General features: G+C 46.8%; 1 pseudogene, besides 2 other annotated features; it reads left to right on the forward strand.

Annotated features, from left to right (window-relative positions):
* Positions 6,329-6,836: an enhancer, noted in NCBI's record as "NANOG hESC enhancer chr7:67548782-67549289 (GRCh37/hg19 assembly coordinates)". NCBI's record gives its function as "activates a minimal SCP1, AML or CMV promoter by ChIP-STARR-seq in naive H9 embryonic stem cells {active_cell/tissue: H9 hESC(naive)}" and the evidence as "EXISTENCE:reporter gene assay evidence [ECO:0000049][PMID:30033119]".
* Positions 11,583-11,783: a silencer, noted in NCBI's record as "peak6556 fragment used in MPRA reporter construct". NCBI's record gives its function as "represses an SCP1 promoter by STARR-seq MPRAs in K562 erythroleukemia cells {active_cell/tissue: K562}" and the evidence as "EXISTENCE:reporter gene assay evidence [ECO:0000049][PMID:32103011]".
* On the forward strand, positions 20,271-20,784 carry MTCO1P57 (MT-CO1 pseudogene 57; annotated as a pseudogene).

Genomic DNA, 21,001 nt, shown 5'->3' on the forward strand with positions numbered 1-21,001 from the left:
TTGTGAGAAATCTATCACAAGGGCCAGGCACAGTGGCTCACGCCTATAAACCCAGCACTTTGGGAGGCCGAGGTGGGTGGATCATGAGGTCAGGAGATCAAGACCATCCTGGCTAACAGGGTGAAACCCCAACTCCACTAAAAGATACAAAAAATTATCTGGGCCTGGTGGCGGGTGCCTGTAGTCCCAGCTACTCGGGAGGCAGTAGAATGGCGTGAACCTGGGAGGCGGAGCTTGCAGTGAGCGGAGATTGTGCCACTGCACTCCAGCCTAGGTGACAGAGCGAGACTCCGTCTCAAAAAAGATAAAAAATAAAAATAAAAATATTTTAAAAAATCTATCACAAGGACAGCAAGGGGGAAACCCACTCCCATGATTCAATCACCTCCAACCAGGCCCCACCTCCAACACTGGGAATTACAATTCAACATGAGATTTGGGTGGGGACACAGAGCCAAACTGTATCAGATGGTATCCAAGAAATGTGTAATAAGACCACATTCTTCAAATGCATTAATTTTTTATAACATTATGCCATTATGCAATTCGCAATCACAAACATTATCATGTGCAACTCCAACACTTTCACTTTCTTATTTTGTTTTGTTTCTTTAAAGAGATGTCCTTAAACCAGATGAAAGGAAAAAGACATGCAGGATCACGATACTCTTGGTTAACACTAAAATGCCATTTAGCCAGCATGCAGGCTGCCAGATAAAACTACGAGGTACTAATAGGATGAATTGACAATTGTCATTTCATCAAACGTAGTGACAACATTATCTGCAGATCTTAGAAGAATCAGCTCAGAAAACTCCCTGGTTGGTACTGATCCTCTCAGATAGATTGAAATCTTTCCAGGCTAGTCCTCAGAGCTCATCAATCAAGGGCAGTTGTCATGGTGAAGAGTTGAATAGATGGCTTCCGTTTAATTGTCCTCAGCCCTCTAGATATTGAATGCACTTGGGAACAGCGGGCTGCGCTGGCCCCAGTCTCCCCAGCTAAAATAGTCATTCCTTTCTTACTCCATCTTCACCTGGAGGCATTTATTCATTTGTTTATTTAATAAATACATACCAAATGCCTATTATGTGACAGGCACAGGATTCCTGCCAAAGATATCATTGTGAAAAGGTCAGGTGCAGACTTTGCCTCTACTCACTTCTGTGTGGCAGAAGACAGACCCACAGGCAATCAGTGGGGTGGTGAGTCTGTGCTGTGCATGCTCAGAGAAGGGTGCTGGAGCCCAGAAGTTACCATCGGGTGTCAACCAAGTGGCTGGGAGCTGGGAGTTGGGTCCTACATGGTCAATAGCTCAGATAAGGATCTCAGCTAAGTGAGGAAGTTCATGTCCAATTCCCTCCAAAGCACTGAAGCTAAAAGCTATCTTCTCTGAGTCTTCTAAGCAAACAAAGGGAGTAGAAGCCCATCTGCCAAGGAGAAGAAGCTGGTGATGAGGAATCGAGTGGTAAAACGAGGAAAACAGAAGAGTGTTGGCGAGGAAGGAAGAAGGGTCCTGGGACTGTCCAGTGGGCAGTACCGTGGTTTCTGCAGCCCCCATTCATTTGATATCAAGGTTGTAATCAAAGCACAAGCTTGTCCTTGAGAAGCAGAGTTAGGGAGAAGACCACGCAAACAGTGATGTGTCTATCCATCTACCTATTTGTGTATTTGTCCATTTAGCAAATGATTTCTGAGTTTCCATGTGCCTGTCTTGTGGAGGAGACACACGTTAAACCAAGAGTTACACAAATGCTTATTTAGTCCTAAGTATGCATCATGCTCTACAAAGTCCATGATCAGAGTGTCACGGGAAGCTTTCCTGGGGCAGCGACACTCAGCTGAGACCTGGAAAGTGAGGAGGAAGGAACTAATGAGAAGAGGCAGATTGTGGAAAAGTTTCCCAGGCAAAGTGGGGAGCCTGGCTGAGGACTTCACAGAGAGCTGTATGTACAATGGGCAAAAGAAGATGCCCATCACATCATGGAGGGCCACTGGGACTTTACACTAAGTACACCTGGATGATTTTGAATGCGTGGAAAGCTGTGGATGGGTCTTCATTTTTAAGTGATCACTCTGGCTGCTGTAGCAAGAAGGTGGTGGAAGAAGGCAAGACTGGAGGGGTGGAAGGTGATTAGGAAATAAATATGGCAGCCCAGGGAAGAGCCATTCACTGGTGGCTTAGCCCTGGGAGGGGGTGGGGGTAGTGCCAGTGGAAGTACAGAGTGAACGTCATTTTCATCCAGGGTCAGAGGTTGCAGTTCTTCCACCTCCATGGGCATGTGACAATAGGTACTTTCACTGCACATAACAATGTGTGTTTAGCAGATGAGAGACAGCCAGCTCCACCTGCAGTAGACACACTTGTTCATACTCTTTTTTCTTCTTTTCTTTTCTTTTTTTTTTTTTTTTTTGAGACAGAGTCTTGTTCTGTCGCCCAGGCTGGAGTGCAATGGTGCTATCTTGGCTCACTGCAACCTCCACATCCCAGGTTCAAGCAATTCTCCCTGCCTCAGCCTCCTGAGCAGCTGGGATTACAGGTGCCTGCCACCATACCCAGCTAATTTTTATATTTTTAGTAGAGACGGGGTTACACCATGTTGGCCAGGCTGGTCTCGAACTCCTGACCTCAGCTGATCCACCCCCTCGGCCTCCCAAAGTGTTGGGATTACAGGTGTGAGTCACTGTGCCTGGCCCACTTGCTCATATTCAAACCACACAGAAGGCTACATGTCCCGTCAGGGAGCAGAGGGTTTCACGTTGTAGGCAGGGAGACTCTCTCAGTAGAGGACTTACCTGGAAAGTACCTTAAAACCAGGATGAGACTCCCTGGTAGCACCCAGAAGGAAACAGAACTGTCATTGGCTGGACACTTAGAGAACCAGTCCAGCGGTGGAGGTTGGGGAAGTTTCTGCAGCTACTGGGCTTTGCATCTGATTAATGTCTGCTTTCTAGATTGATAAGAAAGAGAAGGCCAGGCACCGTGGCTCATGCATATAATCCCAGCAGTCTGGAAGGCTGAGGTGGAAGGATCACTCATGCCTAGGGGTTTGAGACCAGCCTGGGAAACATGGCCAAACTCCATCTTTAAAAAAAAATACGAAAATTAGCCAGGCATGGTGGTGCATGCCTGTGGCCCCAGCTACTTGGGAGGCTGAGGTGGGAGGATCATTTCAGCCCGGGAGGTCAAGGCTGCAGTGAACTGTGACCACCCCACTGCACTCCAGCCTGGGTGACAGTGAGACCCTGTCTCAAAAGAAAAGAAAGAAAGGAAAAACAAAACAATGCAAAACAAGCTAAAAGGAAAGCTTTTGTCATTCCTGTCTCTGGAGGGTTGAGGATGTTCTGGCCTGTGATTAAACGGAAGTAGCTTCAGCTGTGAGAACAGGAGAACGTGGGAGGAGAGAGAAGAGACTAGCTGTTTTTGGTTTATCCTATGTCAGTTTTATTTTTCCCTCCATATTTTCAAAAGAAGGGACTTTAGAAAGCAAATATAAGTCTCTCCAATTTTATGTTTAAAGTGTCATTTCCCAACTGAACTGGCATTTGGATACAAGGGTAATAACTGCTGATGAGCATTTCTCTGACCTTATTAGCCAGAACTGGACTCCTCTTCCTTTCCCTCCCAGGCTTGGTCCTGGGGCTTCCAAGAGTGTAGTCTATTTGCATTGCTATAAAGAATACTGAGGCTGGGTACTTTATAAAGAAAATAGGTTTCTTTGGCTCACAGCTCTGCAAGCTGCACAAGAAACATGGCGCCAACATCTGCTGCTGGTGAGGGCTTCAGGAAGCTTCCACTCATGGTAGAAGGTAAAGGGGAGCTAGCAAGATTATATGGCAAGAGATGGAGCAAGAGAGGAAGAGGTACCACCCTCTTTCTTTCTTTCTTTTTTTTTTTTTTTGAGGCAGAGTCTCGCTCTGTCACCCAGGCTGGAGTGCAGTGGTGTGATCTCGGCTCACTGCAACCTCTGCCTCCCAGGTTCAAGCAATTCTCCTGCCTCAGCCTCCCTAGTAGCTGAGACTACAGGTGCGTGCCACCATGCCTGGCTAATTTTTGTATTTTTAGTAGAGATGGGGTTTCACCACGTGGGCCAGGCTGGTCTTGAACCCCTGATCTTGTGATCCACTTGCCTCGGCCTCCCAAAGTTCTGGGATTACAGGCGTGGGCCACTGTACCTGGTCACCACACTCTTTTTAACAACCAGATCTGATGATGGGAACTAAGAGTGAGAGCTCACTCAATCTCATGAGAATGGCACCAAACCATTTATGAGAGATCCACCCCCATGACCTAAATACCTCCCACCAGGCCCCACCTCCAACACTGGGGATTAAATTTCAACAGGAGATTTGGAGGAGACAGATATTCAAACTATATCAGAAGGGAAGTCTCATGTCTGTGAAGAGAGAAGGTGGTGGGGGAGGAAGGCAAGTGTGGAGGGGTGGATAGTGGGCTCATGGTGCTTGCATACTTAGGACTAAATAAGCATTTGTGTAACTCTTTCTTTCTTGGGCATGTCCAATCTCTACATGTTTCCCCCTGTGTCATAGATTTCATGTTTGTTCCTCCCCACTGCCAAATTCGTATATTGAAACTCTAATCCCCAATGGGCTGGGATGTGAGGAGCGCCACTGCCCGGCTGCCCATCGTCTGGGATGTGAGGAGCGCCTCTGCCCAGCCGCCCTTCATCTGGGAGGTGAGGAGCACCTCTGCCCGGCTGCCCCATCTGGGAGGTGAGGAGCGCCTCTGCCCAGCCACCCCGTCTGGGAACTGAGGAGTGCCTCTGCCTGGCCGCCCCGTCTGGGAACTGAGGAGCGCCTCTGCCCGGCCGCCCCGTCTAGGAAGTGAGCGCCTCTGCCCAGCCGCCCTTCATCTGGGAGGTGAGGAGCACCTCTGCCCGGCCACCCCATCTGGGATGTGAGGAGCGCCTCTGCCCAGCCACCCTTCATCTGGGAGGTGAGGAGCACCTCTGCCCGGCCGCCCCATCTGGGAGGTGAGGAGTGCCTCTGCCCGGCCACCCCGTCTGGGAACTGAGGAGTGCCTCTGCCTGGCCGCCCCGTCTGGGAACTGAGGAGCGCCTCTGCCCGGCCGCCCCGTCTAGGAAGTGAGCGCCTCTGCCCAGCCGCCCTTCATCTGGGAAGTGAGGAGCGCCTCTGCCCAGCCGCCCCGTCTGGGAAGTGAGGAGCGCCTCTGCCCGGCTGCCCATAGTCTGGGATGTGAGGAGCGCCTCTGCCCCGCCACCCATCGTCTGGGATGTGAGGAGCGCAGCTGCCTGGCCGCTCCGTCTGGGATGTGAGGAGCGCCTATGCCCGGCCGCCCCATCCAGGAAGTGGGGAGCGACTCTGCCCAGCCGCCCCATCTAGGAAGTGAGCGCCTCTGCCCGGCTGCCCCATCTGGGATGTAAGGAGCGCCTCTGCCGGGCTGACCCGTCTGGGAACTGAGGAGGCGCCTCTGCCTGGCCACCCATCGTCTGGGATGTGAGGAGCGCCTCTGCCCCGCCACCCATCATCTAGGATGTGAGGAGCGCAGCTGCCTGGCCGCTCCGTCTGGGATGTGAGGAGCGCCTCTGCCCTGCCACCCATCATCTGGGATGTGAGGAGCGCCTATGCCCGGCAGCCCCGTCCGGGAAGTGGGGAGCACCTCCGCCCGGCCGCCCCGTCTAGGAAGTGAGCGCCTCTGCCCGGCCACCCCATCTGGGATGTGAGGAGCGCCTCTGCCCGGCCGCCACCCCATCTGGGATGTGAGGAGCACCTCTGCCTGGCCGCCCCATCTGGGATGTGAGGAGCGCCTCTGCCCCGCCACCCATCGTCTGGGATGTGAGGAGTGCAGCTGCCCGGCTGCTCCATCTGGGATGTGAGGAGCGCCTCTGCCCGGCCGCCCCGTCTAGGAAGTGAGTGCCTCTGCCCGGCTGCCCCATCTGGGATGTGAGGAGCGCCTCTGCCCGGCCGCCACCCCGTCTGGGAGGTGAGGAGTGCCTCTGCCCGGCCGTTCCGTCTGGGATGTGAGGAGCGCCTCTGCCCGGCAGCTGCCCCATCTGGGAAGTGAGGAGCACCTCTGCCCGGCCGCCCCATCTGGGAGGTGAGGAGTGCCTCTGCCCGGCCACCCCATCTGGGAGGTGAGGAGCGCCTCTGCCCGGCTGCCCATCGTCTGGGAGGTGAGGAGCGACTCTGCCTGGCTGCCCATCTTCTGGGATGTGAGGAGCACCTCTGCCTGGCTGCTGTGCAATCTTCCAAGTGTGAAGTGACAGCCTTTCTGCAGGTGTACCCAACAGCTCAGAAGAGACAGTGACCATTGAGAACGGGCCGTGATGATGATGGCGGTTTTGTTGAAAAGAAAAGGGGGAAATGTGGGGAAAAGAAAGAGAGATCAGATTGTTACTGTGTCTGTGTAGAAAGAAGTAGACATAGGAGACTCCATTTTGCTCTGTACTAAGAAAAATTCTTCTGCCTTCGGATGCTGTTAATCTATAACCTTACCCCCAACCCCGTGCTCTCTGAAACATGTGCTGTGTCCACTCAGGGTTAAATGGATTAAGGGCGGTGCAAGATGTGCTTTGTTAAACAGATGCTTGAAGGCAGCATGCTCGTTAAGAGTCATCACCACTCCCTAATCTCAAGTACCCAGGGACACAAACACTGCAGAAGGCCGCAGGGTCCTCTGCCTAGGAAAACCAGAGACCTTTGTTCACGTGTTTATCTGCTGACCTTCTCTCCACTATTATCCTATGACCCTGCCACATCCCCCTCTCCGATAAACACCCAAGAATGATCAATAAATACTAAAAAATAAAAAAATATTTTTCCTATGCATACAGATAAGTAGTAAAATTTAATTTATAAATTTGGCACAGTAAGATTTCCAGGTGATGTAGTAATACAAAATAAATAAATTAATTAAATGAAAAAAATCCCCAATGGGATGGTATTTGAAGATGGTGCCTTTGAGAGGTGATTAGGTCATCACCATCAACAGGGGCTCATTCTGTTGCCCAGGCTGGAGTGCAGTGGCCTGATCATGAGTCACTGTAGCCTCCAACTCCTGGGCTCAAGCCATCCTCCTGCCTTGGCCTGCACAGTAGCTGGGACTACCCACACCTGCTACCATATCCAGCTAACTGAAAAAAAAAAAATTGAGAACAAGCCTCTTGGATCTCTCATGTTTTTGTGTTTTCCTCCTTGCTTGCTCTTGCTCAAAGCTTGCATCCTGCCAAGGCATTTTTTTCTCCTTCTGGAGCCATATGCAGGCTGCTTATACAGAGGCATCAGTGACCAGTGTCACAATGTTGTTGACACTGGCCCTGACACCACTGTCCCAGCATATCACTGCTGATGTCCCCAGCCCCAAGCCCACTCCCCTCGATACTGCTGGTGCTACCATTGGCACCAACACAATGTCTCTAGTCTGCCATGGTGGCAGCCTATGTATTTCTACCAGCATATTTTTTTGAGACTGAGTCTTGCTCTGTTGCCCAGGCTGGAGTGCAATGGTGCAATCTTGACTCCCTACAACCTCCACCTCCTGATCTACCAACAATCTTCATGGCTGTAGAGATTATAGAAAATGGGCCCTGTTTCTTCATTTTTTTTAATTAAAATTTTTTTTTGAGACAGGGGCTTGTTCTGTGTCCCAGGCTAGAGTTCAATGGCCTGAGCATGAATCACTGCAGCCTTCAACTCCTGGGTTCAAGCCATCCTCCTGCCTTGGCCTCCTAAGTAGCTGGGACTACAGACACATGCTACCGTATCTAGCTAACTAAAAGTATATATTTTTTTAGAGACAGGGTCTCGCTCTGTTGCTCAGGCTGCTGTTGAACTCCTGGGTTCAAGTGATCCTCCCTCCTTGGCCTCCTAAAGTGTTGGGATTACAGGCATGAGCCACCGCACCTGGCCTGTTGCTTGCTTTGTTTTATCATCTCTTCATCCTGGTTCCCAATTACAGGCACTGAGGTGCAGAGTGAGGAGCAAACGCTGTGCTGTCCTTGGAGCTACTCTATCCATAAACAATGGTCATTCTTGGGCCGATCTTGGGCATCTCCAAACTCTACATGTTTCCCCTCTGCCATGACTGTATGTTTGTCCCTCCCTACTGCTAAAATTATATATTGAAACTCTAGTCCCCAATGGGTATTTGAAGATGGTATTTGAAGATGGGGCCTTTGAGAGGTGATTACATCATGAGGGTGGACCCTTTATGATGGGAATAAAGCTCTTCTAAGACAAGATAGGAGAGAGCTTGTTTTTCCTCTCTCTCTCCATGTGAGCAAGTCAGAAAGACGCCTCTCACCAGAATCTGACAATGCTAGCACGCTGATCTTGGACTTTCAGCCTCCAGAACTGTGAGAAATAACTATTTATTGTTTAAGCCACCCAGTCTATGGCATCCTTGTTACAGCAGCCCCAGCTGATGAGGACAGCCTGTATCAGTTCAAATCTCTAGACAAACAGAAGAAAAGAAAGAGTTAGACATGGCCAGGTGTGGTGGCTCACCCCTGTAATCCCAGCACTTTGGGAGGCTGAGGTGGGAGCATCACTTGAGCCCACAAGTTCATGACCAGCCTGGGCAACATAGAGATCCCATATCTACAAAAAATTAAAAACTTAGCTGGGTGTGTTGACGTGCACCTGTAGTCTCAGTTACTCAGGAGGCTGAGGTGGAAGGATCTCTCGAGCACAGGAGTTGAAGGCTGCAAGTGAGCTATGACTGCATCACTGCATTCTAGCCTGGGCAACAGAGGCAGATCTTCTCCAAAATAATAAATAAATAAAAAGAGTTGGACATGAACAGGATTCGTTGAGGGGAAAAGCCTCCGAAGAATAAAGAGAAGAAGGAGCAGGAGCTGGTGAGGAGCACCTCTGGATTGCTGTGCAGGTCTGACACCTGTGAGTGGAGACGGAAAAGGAGAAGAGCCTGGATGGAAAAAGCCCTGGGCCACAGCACAGCTCTGGAAGAGTCTTGGCTAGGTCTCTGCAGAGTCCCTGAACTAATTATCTTTTATTGTGGTACAAATCACCCTGAAATGCAATGGCTTAAAACAACAAACTTTTCTTATGTTACAGTTTCTGTGGATCAGGAATTCAGAAGACGCTGAGCTGGGTGGCTCTAGTTCCTGTCCTCTCATGAGGTTGCAATGAAGATGTTGGCTGCAGTCATTTGAAGACTTGATTTGGGTGGGAGGAGGTACTTTCAAGGTGGCTCACTCATGTGGCTGGCAAATTGGTACTGGCTATTGACAGGAGGCTTCATTTCCTTGCCATAGAGACATCCCCAAAGAGCTGCCTGAGTGTCCTCAAGGCATGGTAGATAGCTTCCACCAGAGTGAGTGATCCAAGAGCATGCAAGACAGAAGCTATGGTGTTTATTATCATGTAGCTTCTAAAGACTGACAGCATAAGTTCTGTAGATCCTACTGAATTCTACAGAGTTGCATGGGTTTGCCTATCATGGGACCCATGGTTGCATGGGTCAACCTATCATGGGAGTGGCCTACATGGGGTGTGAATACCACGAGGCAAGGATCATTAGGGTTATCTTGGGGGCTGACTGCCACACTCCACAAGCAAAAATGGACTGCTGGAGGAGCCCCACCGTGAACAGAAGTAGCTTGGCTTGGTTGTCTTGCTCTGCTTAGCCACTGTGAAGAAAACATGGCCTCCACGTAAGTCTTGCATTAGATTGATGGAGGATCTGAAGGGACAGCCTCTGGCCATCAACTATTGTGAGCAGAACCCTTCACAATAGGTTCTATTGAAGGAAGATCTAAGCTGCTCAGCTCCCTGGCTTCTACATGCCCCCATTCCTTTATGTAAATAAACCCTGAGAATATCCAGTCCACAAGCCCCCAACTTTCCAAGCTTCCCTAAGTCCTAGAATAAGCACATCTTCAGGTTGAGCTGAGAACATTGTCATATTAAGACAAGGAAACTGAAGCACAGAGAGAGATGATATACCCAAGGTCCCCCCGAAGATGACAGAAGCAGGAATAACATGAAGGTTTTAAAATTCCAAGCCTGATACTCTTTTGTTTTATGCCATGAAGTCCCCATAAATCCAGCCTTCTGTGCAAAGGACCGGCTTGCTAGGACACTCCAGACTGCTAAATACGCCATTATCTATGATGTACATTCCTATTTTTACTGTTGTGGCTGCTACGGCAACAGATTTGATTTCCTAATTATGTTTTTCTTTGGCTAATGTAAAAATTAATTTCCATTCCCTGAACAGCCATCAACTACTGGTAAGAGGAGATCACTCAGGAGATTGAGCGGTAAACCCATTGGATACCAGTGTTATCTAAAAGTGAGGGCAAGAAGCTGCCATCTGTTACCTGCTCATTCTGTGCCATACTCCGTGCAAGGTAACTTCTTTCTCCCAAGGATGTGAAGCGAATTTCAATGTTTTAATTTAATTTAATTTAATTTAATTTAATTTTTGAGATGGAGTCTGGCTTTGTTGCCCAGGCTGGAGTGCTCTTGGCTCACTGCAACCTCCGCCTCCCGGGTTCAAGCGATTCTCCTGTTTCAGCCTCTTGAGTAGCTGGGTTACAGATGCCCACCACCACGCCTAGTTAATTTTTGTATTTTTAGTAGAGATGGGGTTTCACCGTGCTGGCCAGACTGGTCTCGAACTCCTGACCTCAGGTGATCCGCCTGCCTCAGCCTCCCAATCCATGTTCCCATTTTAGAGTTTAGAATATGGAGATGACAGAGGTGAAGCAACTTGCTCAGAATTATATGTGATGTAAGTGGCAGGACAGAATGTAAGCACATCTGCCTGACTCCAAGTTTCATCATTTTTTTCCTATATGAGATTGTTTCCAAGTCTAACACAGTAGCCCTCTGTATCCTGGGAGGATTTGTCCCAGAAACCCCTGCAGATACTAATATCTGCAGATGCACAAGTCTCTTTTATAAAATGACTTGGTTGGCCCGGTGTGGTGGCTCACGACTGTAATCCTAGCATTTTGGGAGGCTGGGGTGGGCAGATTACTTGAGGTTACAAGTTCAAGACCAGCCTGGCCAACATGCCGAAACTCCATCTCTACTAAAAATACAAAAATTAGCCTGGCGTGGTGGTGGATGCCTGTAATCCCAGCTATATGGGAGGCTGAGTCAGGAGAATCACTTGAACCCATGAGGTGGAGTTTGCAGTGAGCCGAGATCACATCACTGCACTCCAGCCTGGAGGACAGAGTAAGACTCTGCTCTCAATATACATAAATAAATGAATGAATAAATAATTAAATAATAAAATGGCTTAATACAGTCAGTCCTGCTGTATCTATAGGTTTTGATCCCCAGTTGGTTCAATCCTTAGATACAAGAGGCACGGATACAGAGGGCCGACTGTTGAAACTAAGAAAGCAAGCCACCTGCTTGGTCAGAGGGGACTTTATTCAGTAGTTTATGTTGGAGTTACTGATGTTCAGAGTCTACTTCTCAGCCTTGGTTCTGCTGCCTAACAGTTGTGGGTCACAAAGAAGTAGGTGAGTCTCAGGGGAGCTGATTCACATTAATTAAACTCACAAGAGACTGATGTATATGCCTAAATGACAGTCTATTCTCTTGCAAGAGAGTGAGCAAAATGTTCATGTTTATCCTCCAGATGAGCCTCTTCCCATAAGCCTGATAAGTTGAATGACTAAGCAGAACGCTGCTTAGCAAATGTAAAATCAGAACCAAAGTCTCTGGGAGGCAGCTTTGAAGAATCTTACAGCTCACAGATGACCCTTTCTTGAAGTCCTCTCTTATGTGATAGGGAAATTTCAATGTCTCTTTACACACACACACACACACACACTCATGTCAATGTCTCATTGCTTTGTTTCACCGGACTTTTTTTGATACCTTCCCAATATAGAAATGTTTTTTCTTCAAATATTTTATTACCATTGATTAGGCAACAACTTTATTTGCTATGCAACTGTGTCCAGAATTGGTGGGTTCTTGGTCTCACTGACTTCAAGAATGAAGCCGTGAACTCTGGCGGTGAGTGTTACAGCTATTAAGGTGGCATGTCTGGAGTCTGTCCCTTCTGATTTTCAGATGTGTTCGGAGTTTCTTCCTTCTGGTGGGTTCGTGGTCTCGCTGGCTCAGGAGTGAAGCTGCAGAGTTTCGCGGTGAGTGTTACAGCTCTCAAGGTAGCGCGTCTGGAGTTGTTCGTTCCTCCCGCTAGGCTCGTGGTCTTGCTGGGCTCAGGAGTGAAGCTGCATATCTTCACGGTGAGTGTTACAGCTCAGAAAAGCAGCGTGGACCCAAAGAGTGAGCAGTAGCAAGATTTATTGCAAAGAGTGAAAGAGCAAAGCTTCCACAGTGTTGAAGGGGACCCCAGCGGGTTGCCAATGCTGGCTCGGGCAGCCTGCTTTTATTCTCTTATCTGGCCCCACCCACATCATCTGATTGGTAGAGCCCAGTGGCCTGTTTTGTCAGGGCGCTGATTGGTGCGTTTACAATCCCTGAGCTAGATACAAAGGTTCTCCACAGTCCCCATCAGATTAGTTACATACAGAGTTTCCACACACAGGTTCTCCAAGGCCCCACCAGAGTAGCTAGATACAGAGTATGGACTGGTGCACTCGCAAACCTTGAGCTAAACACAGGGTGCTGATTGGTGTATTTACAAACCTTGAGCTAGATACAGAGTGCCGATTGGTGTATTTACAATCCCTGAGCTAGACATAAAGACTCTCCACGTCCTCACCAGAGCAGCTAGATACAGAGTGTCGATTGGTGCACTCACAAACCTTGAGCTAAACACAGGGTGCTGATTGGTGTATTTACAAACCTTGAGCTAGATACAGAGTGCCGATTGGTGTATTTACAATCCCTGAGCTAGATATAAAGACTCTCCACGTCCCCACCAGACTCAGGAGCCCAGCTGGCTTCACCTAGTGGATCCCACAACGGGGCTGCAGGTGGAGCTGCCTGCCAGTCCTGCACCGTTCGCTCGCATACCTCAGCCCTTGGGTGGTCGATGGGACTGGGCGCCGTGGAGCAGGGGGTGGTGCTCGTCGGGGAGGCTCGGGCAGCACAGGAGCCCATGGAGTGGGTGGGAGGCTCAGACATGGCTGGCTGCAGGTCCCGAGCCCTGCCCCGTGGGAAGGCAGCTAAGGCCCGGCGAGAAATCAAGCACAGCGCTGGTGGGCCAGCACTGTTGGGGGACTCAGTACACCCTCCGCAGCCACTGGCCCGGGTGCTAAGTCCCCCATTGCCTGGGGCCAGCAGGGCTGGCCGGCTGCTCCGAGTGCGGGGCCGGCCAAGCCCACGCCCACCCAGAACTCCAGCTAGCCCGCAAGCGCCGCAGGCAGCCCCGGTTCCCGCTCACGCCTCTCCCTCCACACCTCCCTGCAAGCTGAGGGAGTGGGCTCCAGCCTTGGCCAGCCCAGAAAAGGGCTCCCACAGTGCAGTGGGGGGGCTGAAGGGCTCCTGAAATACCACCAAAGTGGGAGCCCAGGCAGGGGAGGTGCCGAGAGCAAGTGAGGGGTCTGAGGACTGCCAGCATGCTGTCACCTCTCACAACCATATTAATTTCAGGATGCGTTCTTACTATTTTGGCTTGGAAACTCTCTGTCTTCTAATATTGCATCTACAAGATGCATCAATCTAGTTCCTACAAGGCCTCACTCTTTTCCAGAGTCATGAACATTTCCTGAACCCCCACACCTCCCAGATAATGGGATGCAATCTGTTTTAAATCACAGCTGATTGAACCAGGCATGGGTCCCTAACTTATCCAATCTTTTTTTTCATTGTTGAGACAGAGTCTTGCTCTGTCGCCCAGGCTGGAGTGCAATGGCACGATCTTCGCCTCCCGGGTTCAAGCTATTCTCCTGCCTCAGCCTCCTGAGTAGCTGGGATTACAGGTACGTGCCACCATGCCTGGCTAATTTTTGTGTTTTTAGTAGATACAGGGTTTCACCATGTTGGTCAGGCTGGTCTCCAACTCCTGACTTTGTGGTCTGCCCGACTCGGCATTCCAAAGTGCTGGGATTACAGGCATGAGCCACCGTGCCCGGCCAATTTATCCAATCTTTGCATGATGGGTAGGCAAAGAAGAGGTAGACCAGATTCTTTCTCTAAAGAATTAGACATGAGAAATAGAGGGAGAACCATTGTTAGTAGGGAAAACTGAATGACGGGAGGTCAGGAGGTAAAAGGATGTGCCCTATGTGAGTCTCCTAGAATTGCCACAACAACGTACCACAGATGGAGTAGCTTAAACTACAGGAACTTATTGTCTCACTGGTCTGGAGCTAGAAGTCTGAAATCAAGGTGTTAGCAGGGTTGGTTCCTTTTGAGGGCTGAATCTGATCCATGCTTCTCTCCTGGCTTCTGGCAGCCTCAGGTGTCCCCTAGCTTATAGATGCCTTCACCTTGTGTCTTCACAGCACTCCCCCTCTATGTGTGTCTGTTTCTGTGTTCAAATTTCCCCCTTTTCTAACGACACCAGACATATTTGTCCATCTACCCTAATGACCTCATTTTAACTTGATTGAGTCTGTCATGACTCTATTTCCAAAGAAAGTCACACTCTGGATTGGGCATGGTGGCCCACACCTGTCATTCCAGCACATTGGGAGGTTGAAGCAAGAGGCTTACTTGAGCCCAGAAGTTTGAGACCAGCCTGGGCAACAGAGCAAGACCCCATCTCTATAAAAATTAAAAAAAATTATCCGGGCATGACTGCATGCGCCTGTAGTTCCAGCTACTCAGGAGGCTGAGGTGGGAGGATCCCTTGAGCTGAGGAATTTGAGGGTGCAGTGAACTGTGATCACACCACTGCACACCAACCCAGGAAACACTGCAAGACCCTGACTTTAAAAACAAGCAAAAGAAAAGAAATACAAATAAGGTCATGTTCTGTGGTACTGGGGGTTAGGAATTCTACATATATTTTTGGGAGAAGGCAATGCAGTTTATAACATCTCCTCCCCGTTGGACCAAACTCATAAAGTTCAGGAAGGGGCCAAGGAAAGTCACTGTGGGGCCATGGGCTTCAGTGAGGAGCCCCACCATGTCCTCAGCATTGGGCCTACCTTTTGGCCGACTTCCCCACCCAAGGCAGCCTCAGGATTACGGCCATGAGAACAGCTGTGAGAGAGGCCCTAGCAAGGCCATCAATGAGGGGATAATTAGGTATAATAGAAAGAGGAGGTGCCCCACAGTGAGCCACTACAACACTCTTATAATAACCTCCTTTCTTTCTTTTTTGAATTTAATTTTACTTTAAGTTTCTGGGATATATGTACAGAACATGTAGATTTGTTATATAGGCATACATGTGCCATGGTGGTTTGCTGCACCTGTCAACCTGTCATCTAGGTTTTAAGCCCCACATGCATTATTTGTCCTAATGCTCTCCCTCCCCTCAACAGGCCCCAGTGTGTGATGTTCCCCTCCCTGTGTCCATGTGTTTTCATTGTTCAGCTCCCACTTATGAGTGAGAACATGCGGTGTTTGGTTTTCTGTTCCTGTGTTAGTTTGCTGCGAATGATGGTTTCCAACTTCATCCATGTCCCTCCAAAGGAGAGGAACTCATTCTTTTTTATAGCTGCATAGTATTCCATGGTGTATATGTACCATATTTTCTTTATCCAGTCTATCATTGATGGGCACTTGGGTTGGTTCAAAGTCTTTGCTATTGTAAATAGTGCTGCAATAAACTTAGTGTGCATGAGTCTTTATAGTAGAATGATTTATAATCCTTTGGGTATATACCCAATAATGGGATTGCTGGGTCAAATGGTATTTCTGATTCTAGATCCTTGAGGAATCACCACACTGCCTAACCTCCTTTCTTTCTTAAGGTGACTAGTGATGATGTGTCCTGTACAATTAAGAAATCCAAGTATGACAGCGACCTACCTCCCAGACCTGGGATTACTGTAGCAACACTACTAGTGATCAAATACATTGTCCAAGCAGGTAGTCTAGTAATAGAAATTCCAAGCAACCAGTTAGATTTCTCTTCCAATCTACCCGCTGCCATGAGTTAATTGCATGACCCTGAGCTCCAATCCCTTCATTTGTCAAACGACGGGCTCTTCCCAGCTATAAAATTCTGTGATTTTATCATAATTGATCAATTAAGCCCAAATAGTCCCTCCAACAGACAGCCTCAAAGATGCACTTTAGAAAACTCATTGAGTGGGTAAATCGTGTGCCCTTAAGTGAGAGTTTATTATCTAACTCTCTGGGAAGCAGACCAGAATTTTCCTCCCAAATGTGAGATTTACTTTAAGCTTAAGTTATTTTTAAAAGGTAGACAAAACCCATGATATCATCCCTCTATTAATTTGTAGATGTGAAAAGAGACTCCTACCAGTTCTGAGCCTTAGATAAATACACAAGAATAATAATAACCTTCGAAGGAAGGTATTGAACGTTAGACAGTTACCAAAGGCAAACGTTATTTGTTCCATGGGAACTCCTCGACTGGGTCTTTTGATTCTGTGTGTAAGCTGCTAGAGCAGGCAATTACTGTTCTTTTTCTATTCTGGGCCTTAAAATACCTTAGAATTCTTTCTATTGTGGTCCAACGGTTAGGAGGAAGCCTCCAGCCCCAGTGTGGGAAAGATTCCATGTAACAGTTCTTAAATGAAAACCCCAGGCATGTGGCAGGTGGGCAGAGGCTAGGAGAAGAAGGCTCTTCATTCATTCAGTCTGCCCACCATCACCATGTTCCCACTGAGCCATGGCGCCTGGGGTCCATAGACCTCCCCTTGGGGCTCTCAGAGTCAATAGGAGGGACACACAGTTAAGCAAATTATTTCAATGCAGTATAATGGTTTCTGTAAAATACACATTCAATAACAAGGGAATGATTGAGTACATTATAGTCGATCTATAGAATGGAGGATTATGCATCAATTAAACGCCGTGTTTTGGAAGAATATTTAATATGGCTTGCTTTTTTTTCACTGACTTTGCTGTTAAGTCAAAGGCAAAGAAAAAGGCAGGCTACAAAGTTCTATACAGTATGGCTGGGTGCAGTGGCTCAAGCCTATAATCCCAGCACTTTGGGAGGCCGAGGCAAGTGGATCATCTGAGGTCAGGAGTTTGAGATCAGCCTGGCCAAAATGGTGAAACCCCATCTCTACTTAAAATACAAAAATTTAGCCGAGTATGGTGGTGTTTGCCTATAATCCCAGCTACTTGGGAGGCTGAGGCAGGAGAATCCAGGAAGTGGAGGGTGCTGTGAACCAAGATTGAACCAATGCACTCCAACCTGGGCAATAGGGTGAGACTCCATCTCAAAAAAAAAAAAAAAAATGCTATGCAGTATGAATCCTACGATATGTAAAATATATTATGTATGCATATATACATATGCATATACACACATAGAACATATACTTCTCTATTGTTTACATATGTGTATAAATACGTGTGTATATATATAATATATATATATATATAGCGAGAAAGAACCACATAAAAGGATAAACATTATATCCTACCATATAAAGAATAAACATTTATCCACATAAAAGGATGAACATAGTAGCAAGTAGTTATTGAACTCTTAATACATTCCTTAATATACTCGGGATACTCTCCTACTCTCTTTATATTCTATATGCCATTTAAGTGCTAAATTTATTTTACACAAAATTATATATGCAAAAGTGTAGCTCTAACATGTGTACAATGTAAACAACAAAAATAAATAGGGCCAGGCATAGTGGCTCACATCTGTAATCCCAGCACTTTGGGAGGCCAAAGCAGGAGGATAACTTGAGGTCAGGAGTTCAAGACTGGCTTGGGCAACATAGGGAGATACCGTCTTTACCAAAAAAAAAAAAAAGTTAGCAGGGCAGGCGCCATGGCTCAGGCCTGTAATCCCAGCACTTTGGGAGGCTGAGGCGGGGGGACCACCTGAGGTCAGGAGTTCAAGACCAGCCTAGCCAACATGGCGAAACCCCATCTCTACTAAAAATACAAAAATTAGCCAGGTGTGGTGGCGCATGCTTGTAATCTCAGCTACTTAGGAGGCTGAGGCCGGAGAATGGCTTGAAGTTGGGAGGCAGAGGTTGCAGTGAGCCAAGATTGCACCACTGTACCACAGCCTGGGTGATGAGAGTGAAAAAAAAAATTAGCCAGGCATGGTGACAAACTAACATGGGAACAGAAAACCAAACACCGCATGTTCTCACTTATAAGTGGGAGTTGAACTATGAGAACACATGGACACAGGGAGGGGAACATCACACACCGGGGCCTGTCCGGTGGTGGGGAGCAAGGGGAGGGAGAGCATTAGGACAAATACCTAATGCATCCACTTTTATTATTTAAATATATTCATTTTTATAGTGTTGCTCATAATCCCAGTATCTACAGTCTTTGTAGATCTGATTCTATACTTTGTTGTTTCTGTTGGCTCTTGCTCCTAGTGACTTGTTTTCTCCAGAGATGTGTTTGTTTATTCCAGGGTCCAAGGAAATATACCTGTGTGAGTTTGCTTTAACCTAACATTTTTGGTTGAAGTTTTCCAGGACACGTATGTGGTATGAATTCTGGCCCAACTCCTCATTATATATTTGTCATTAGGGATTCTCAGAGACTATTTTCTTTGTTCAGTCACACAACTCAGACCTAAGAAAAAGATGGACAATTTTTCCCACACTTATCTCTATAGAACAGGATTTTCATTTAATGTATTCACCGAGGGTTTCATCCCTCTAGGGCCCTATCTCTATGAGAAGGCTTCTGACCTGTCATTCAGTCATGTTGGTATTCCATACTTTGTTTACATTTTTGTGTGTATGTTTCACTAACACCCTTGACAGACAAACATTCATCCTCAGGGAAAAAGTCAGTTTCAAAAACTGTGTATTGTTCTTGTATCTTTCTTTCTTTCTTTCTTTTCTTTCTTTCTTTTCTCTTTCTTTCTTTCTTGCTTGCTTTCTTGCTTTCTTTTCTTTCTTTCTTTCTTTCTTCTTTCTTTCTTTTTATTTATTTTTTGTTTTTGAGATGGAGTCTTGCTCTGTCGCCCAGGCTGGAGTGCAGTAGCATGATCTTGGCTCACTGCAACCTCCACCTCCCAGGTTCAAGCAATTCTCCTGCCTCAGCCTCCCGAGTAGTTGGGAATACAGGTGCCTGCCACCATGCCTGGCTAATTTTTGTATCTTTAGTAGAGACAGGGTTTCACCATGTTTGCCAGACTGGTCTCAAACTCCAGACCTCGTGATCCACCCACCTCGGCCTCCCAAAGTGCTGGGTTTACAAGGGTGAGCTACTGTACTTGGCCATCATTCTTTATTATTGTTTTTCATTTTCAACTTGTATTTAAGCTCAGCATACTTAAAATATGCTTTAAATATGTTGTTCAGCATTTTTAGGTGTTCTGTATTAGGAGATGTGTGTGTGTGTGTGTGTGTGTGTGTGTACTTGGTCTGATATATAGCTTTAAGTAAAAGTTTGCCCACAGTTTTTTTCTAAATTTACTATAAAATAATGCTAATAAGCACAGCAAATATCAGCAGTGGTTTAATTTTGAAAGTACTAATGAGTTATTTTTTCTTTATTTTCATTTATATTTTCAGAAATTTAAAGAGGATCGTTTGTTATTTTTATGAAAGAAACATTATGGCAAGGAATTACATGGTGTAAAGGCAGCAAAACAGGAAGTTAACAATAAAGGAATGAGATGAGAGAATTCTTCAAAAAGGAGGGAACTGTTGAGCTGATTGTAAAATTCTTACCTGAATTCTGTTAAATATACAATTAAATTTCTAATAAATTATACCTCAAAGAAGTATACATTAAATTTTTTGTTAAAGGTAATTTGAAGTGTACTTCCATTACTTGTACTGAATATAACCTTGACTAAATCTGACTTCATAGAATTTTTGCAAAATTTATTTGAGATAATAATTGAAAAATGCTAGCTTAGATGAAATACAGAGTTTTGAAATTTTTAGTAGCATTATATTATAGCAATAAGACTTAAGTAATGAAATGAAAAAGCTGCTGGTTATTAAGTTGCTGATTGTATCAGAGTCAAATGGCGTACACTTTTGTTTGAAATTCAGGTGCAGACTTGCAATATAAGAGAGTACACTTTCCTATATTCCAGTAAACAGTATCCTAATCGCCATCAATAGCATTTGTCAGGCACATGATTCGGGTGTCAGCATTGTGCTAAGAGAGGCAAAGGTTATATAAGGAAGTATTTACCCTTGAATTTCAAATAATTGTTATGGGGATATGAAAATATAGACAATCCCACTATGGGCTCAGAATTTATTTTTTCCCCATATTTATTTCCTTCCCCACAACACTTTCTCAGCCTATCCAGTATGCCTTGACGTTACTCCGATTATCCTGATGCATACACCACATGAAATATTATCTCATCTGTAGGCTCATTTATCTCACTAACAGCAGTTATACTAATTTTTTTTTTTTTTGAGATGGAGTCTAGCTGGAGGTCAGTGGCGAGATCTCAGCTCACTGCAAGCTCCACCTCCTGAGTTCACACCATTCTCCCGCCTCAGCCTCCCCAGTAGCTGAGACTACAGGTGCATGCCACCGTGCCCGGCTAATTTTGTTTTTGTATTTTTAGTAGAGACGGGGCTTCAACGTGTTAGCCAGGATGGTCTCGATCTCCTGACCTCGTGATCCGCCCGCCTCGGCCTCCCAAAGTGACTAATACTTTTTATAATCTGAGAAGCCTTTGCTTCAAAACGAAAAGTTCTAACAATTGAACAAACATCTACTAATTTAGAGTGACTTTACGGCTGTCCACCTCCTTACCACACATTCAAAGAGCCAACCTACATGAAAACCTAAACGAAAAAGGAAAGAATGGAACCTCCAGAAACTGGTTTCAAGCCAATCCCATAACCTCTATGACCTTCTCAGTAAGATATTAGTAAAATCATTACACATACAAAATAGAAACAATTAAGTAAAAAACAGAGTTGGCCGGGCACGGTGACTCACGCCTGTAATCCCAGCACTTTGGGAGGCTGAGGCGGGTGGATCACGAGGTCAGGAGATC

The sequence above is a fragment of the Homo sapiens genome, chromosome 7 (assembly GCF_000001405.40).
Source record: "Homo sapiens chromosome 7, GRCh38.p14 Primary Assembly".
Classification (NCBI taxonomy): domain Eukaryota; kingdom Metazoa; phylum Chordata; class Mammalia; order Primates; family Hominidae; genus Homo; species Homo sapiens.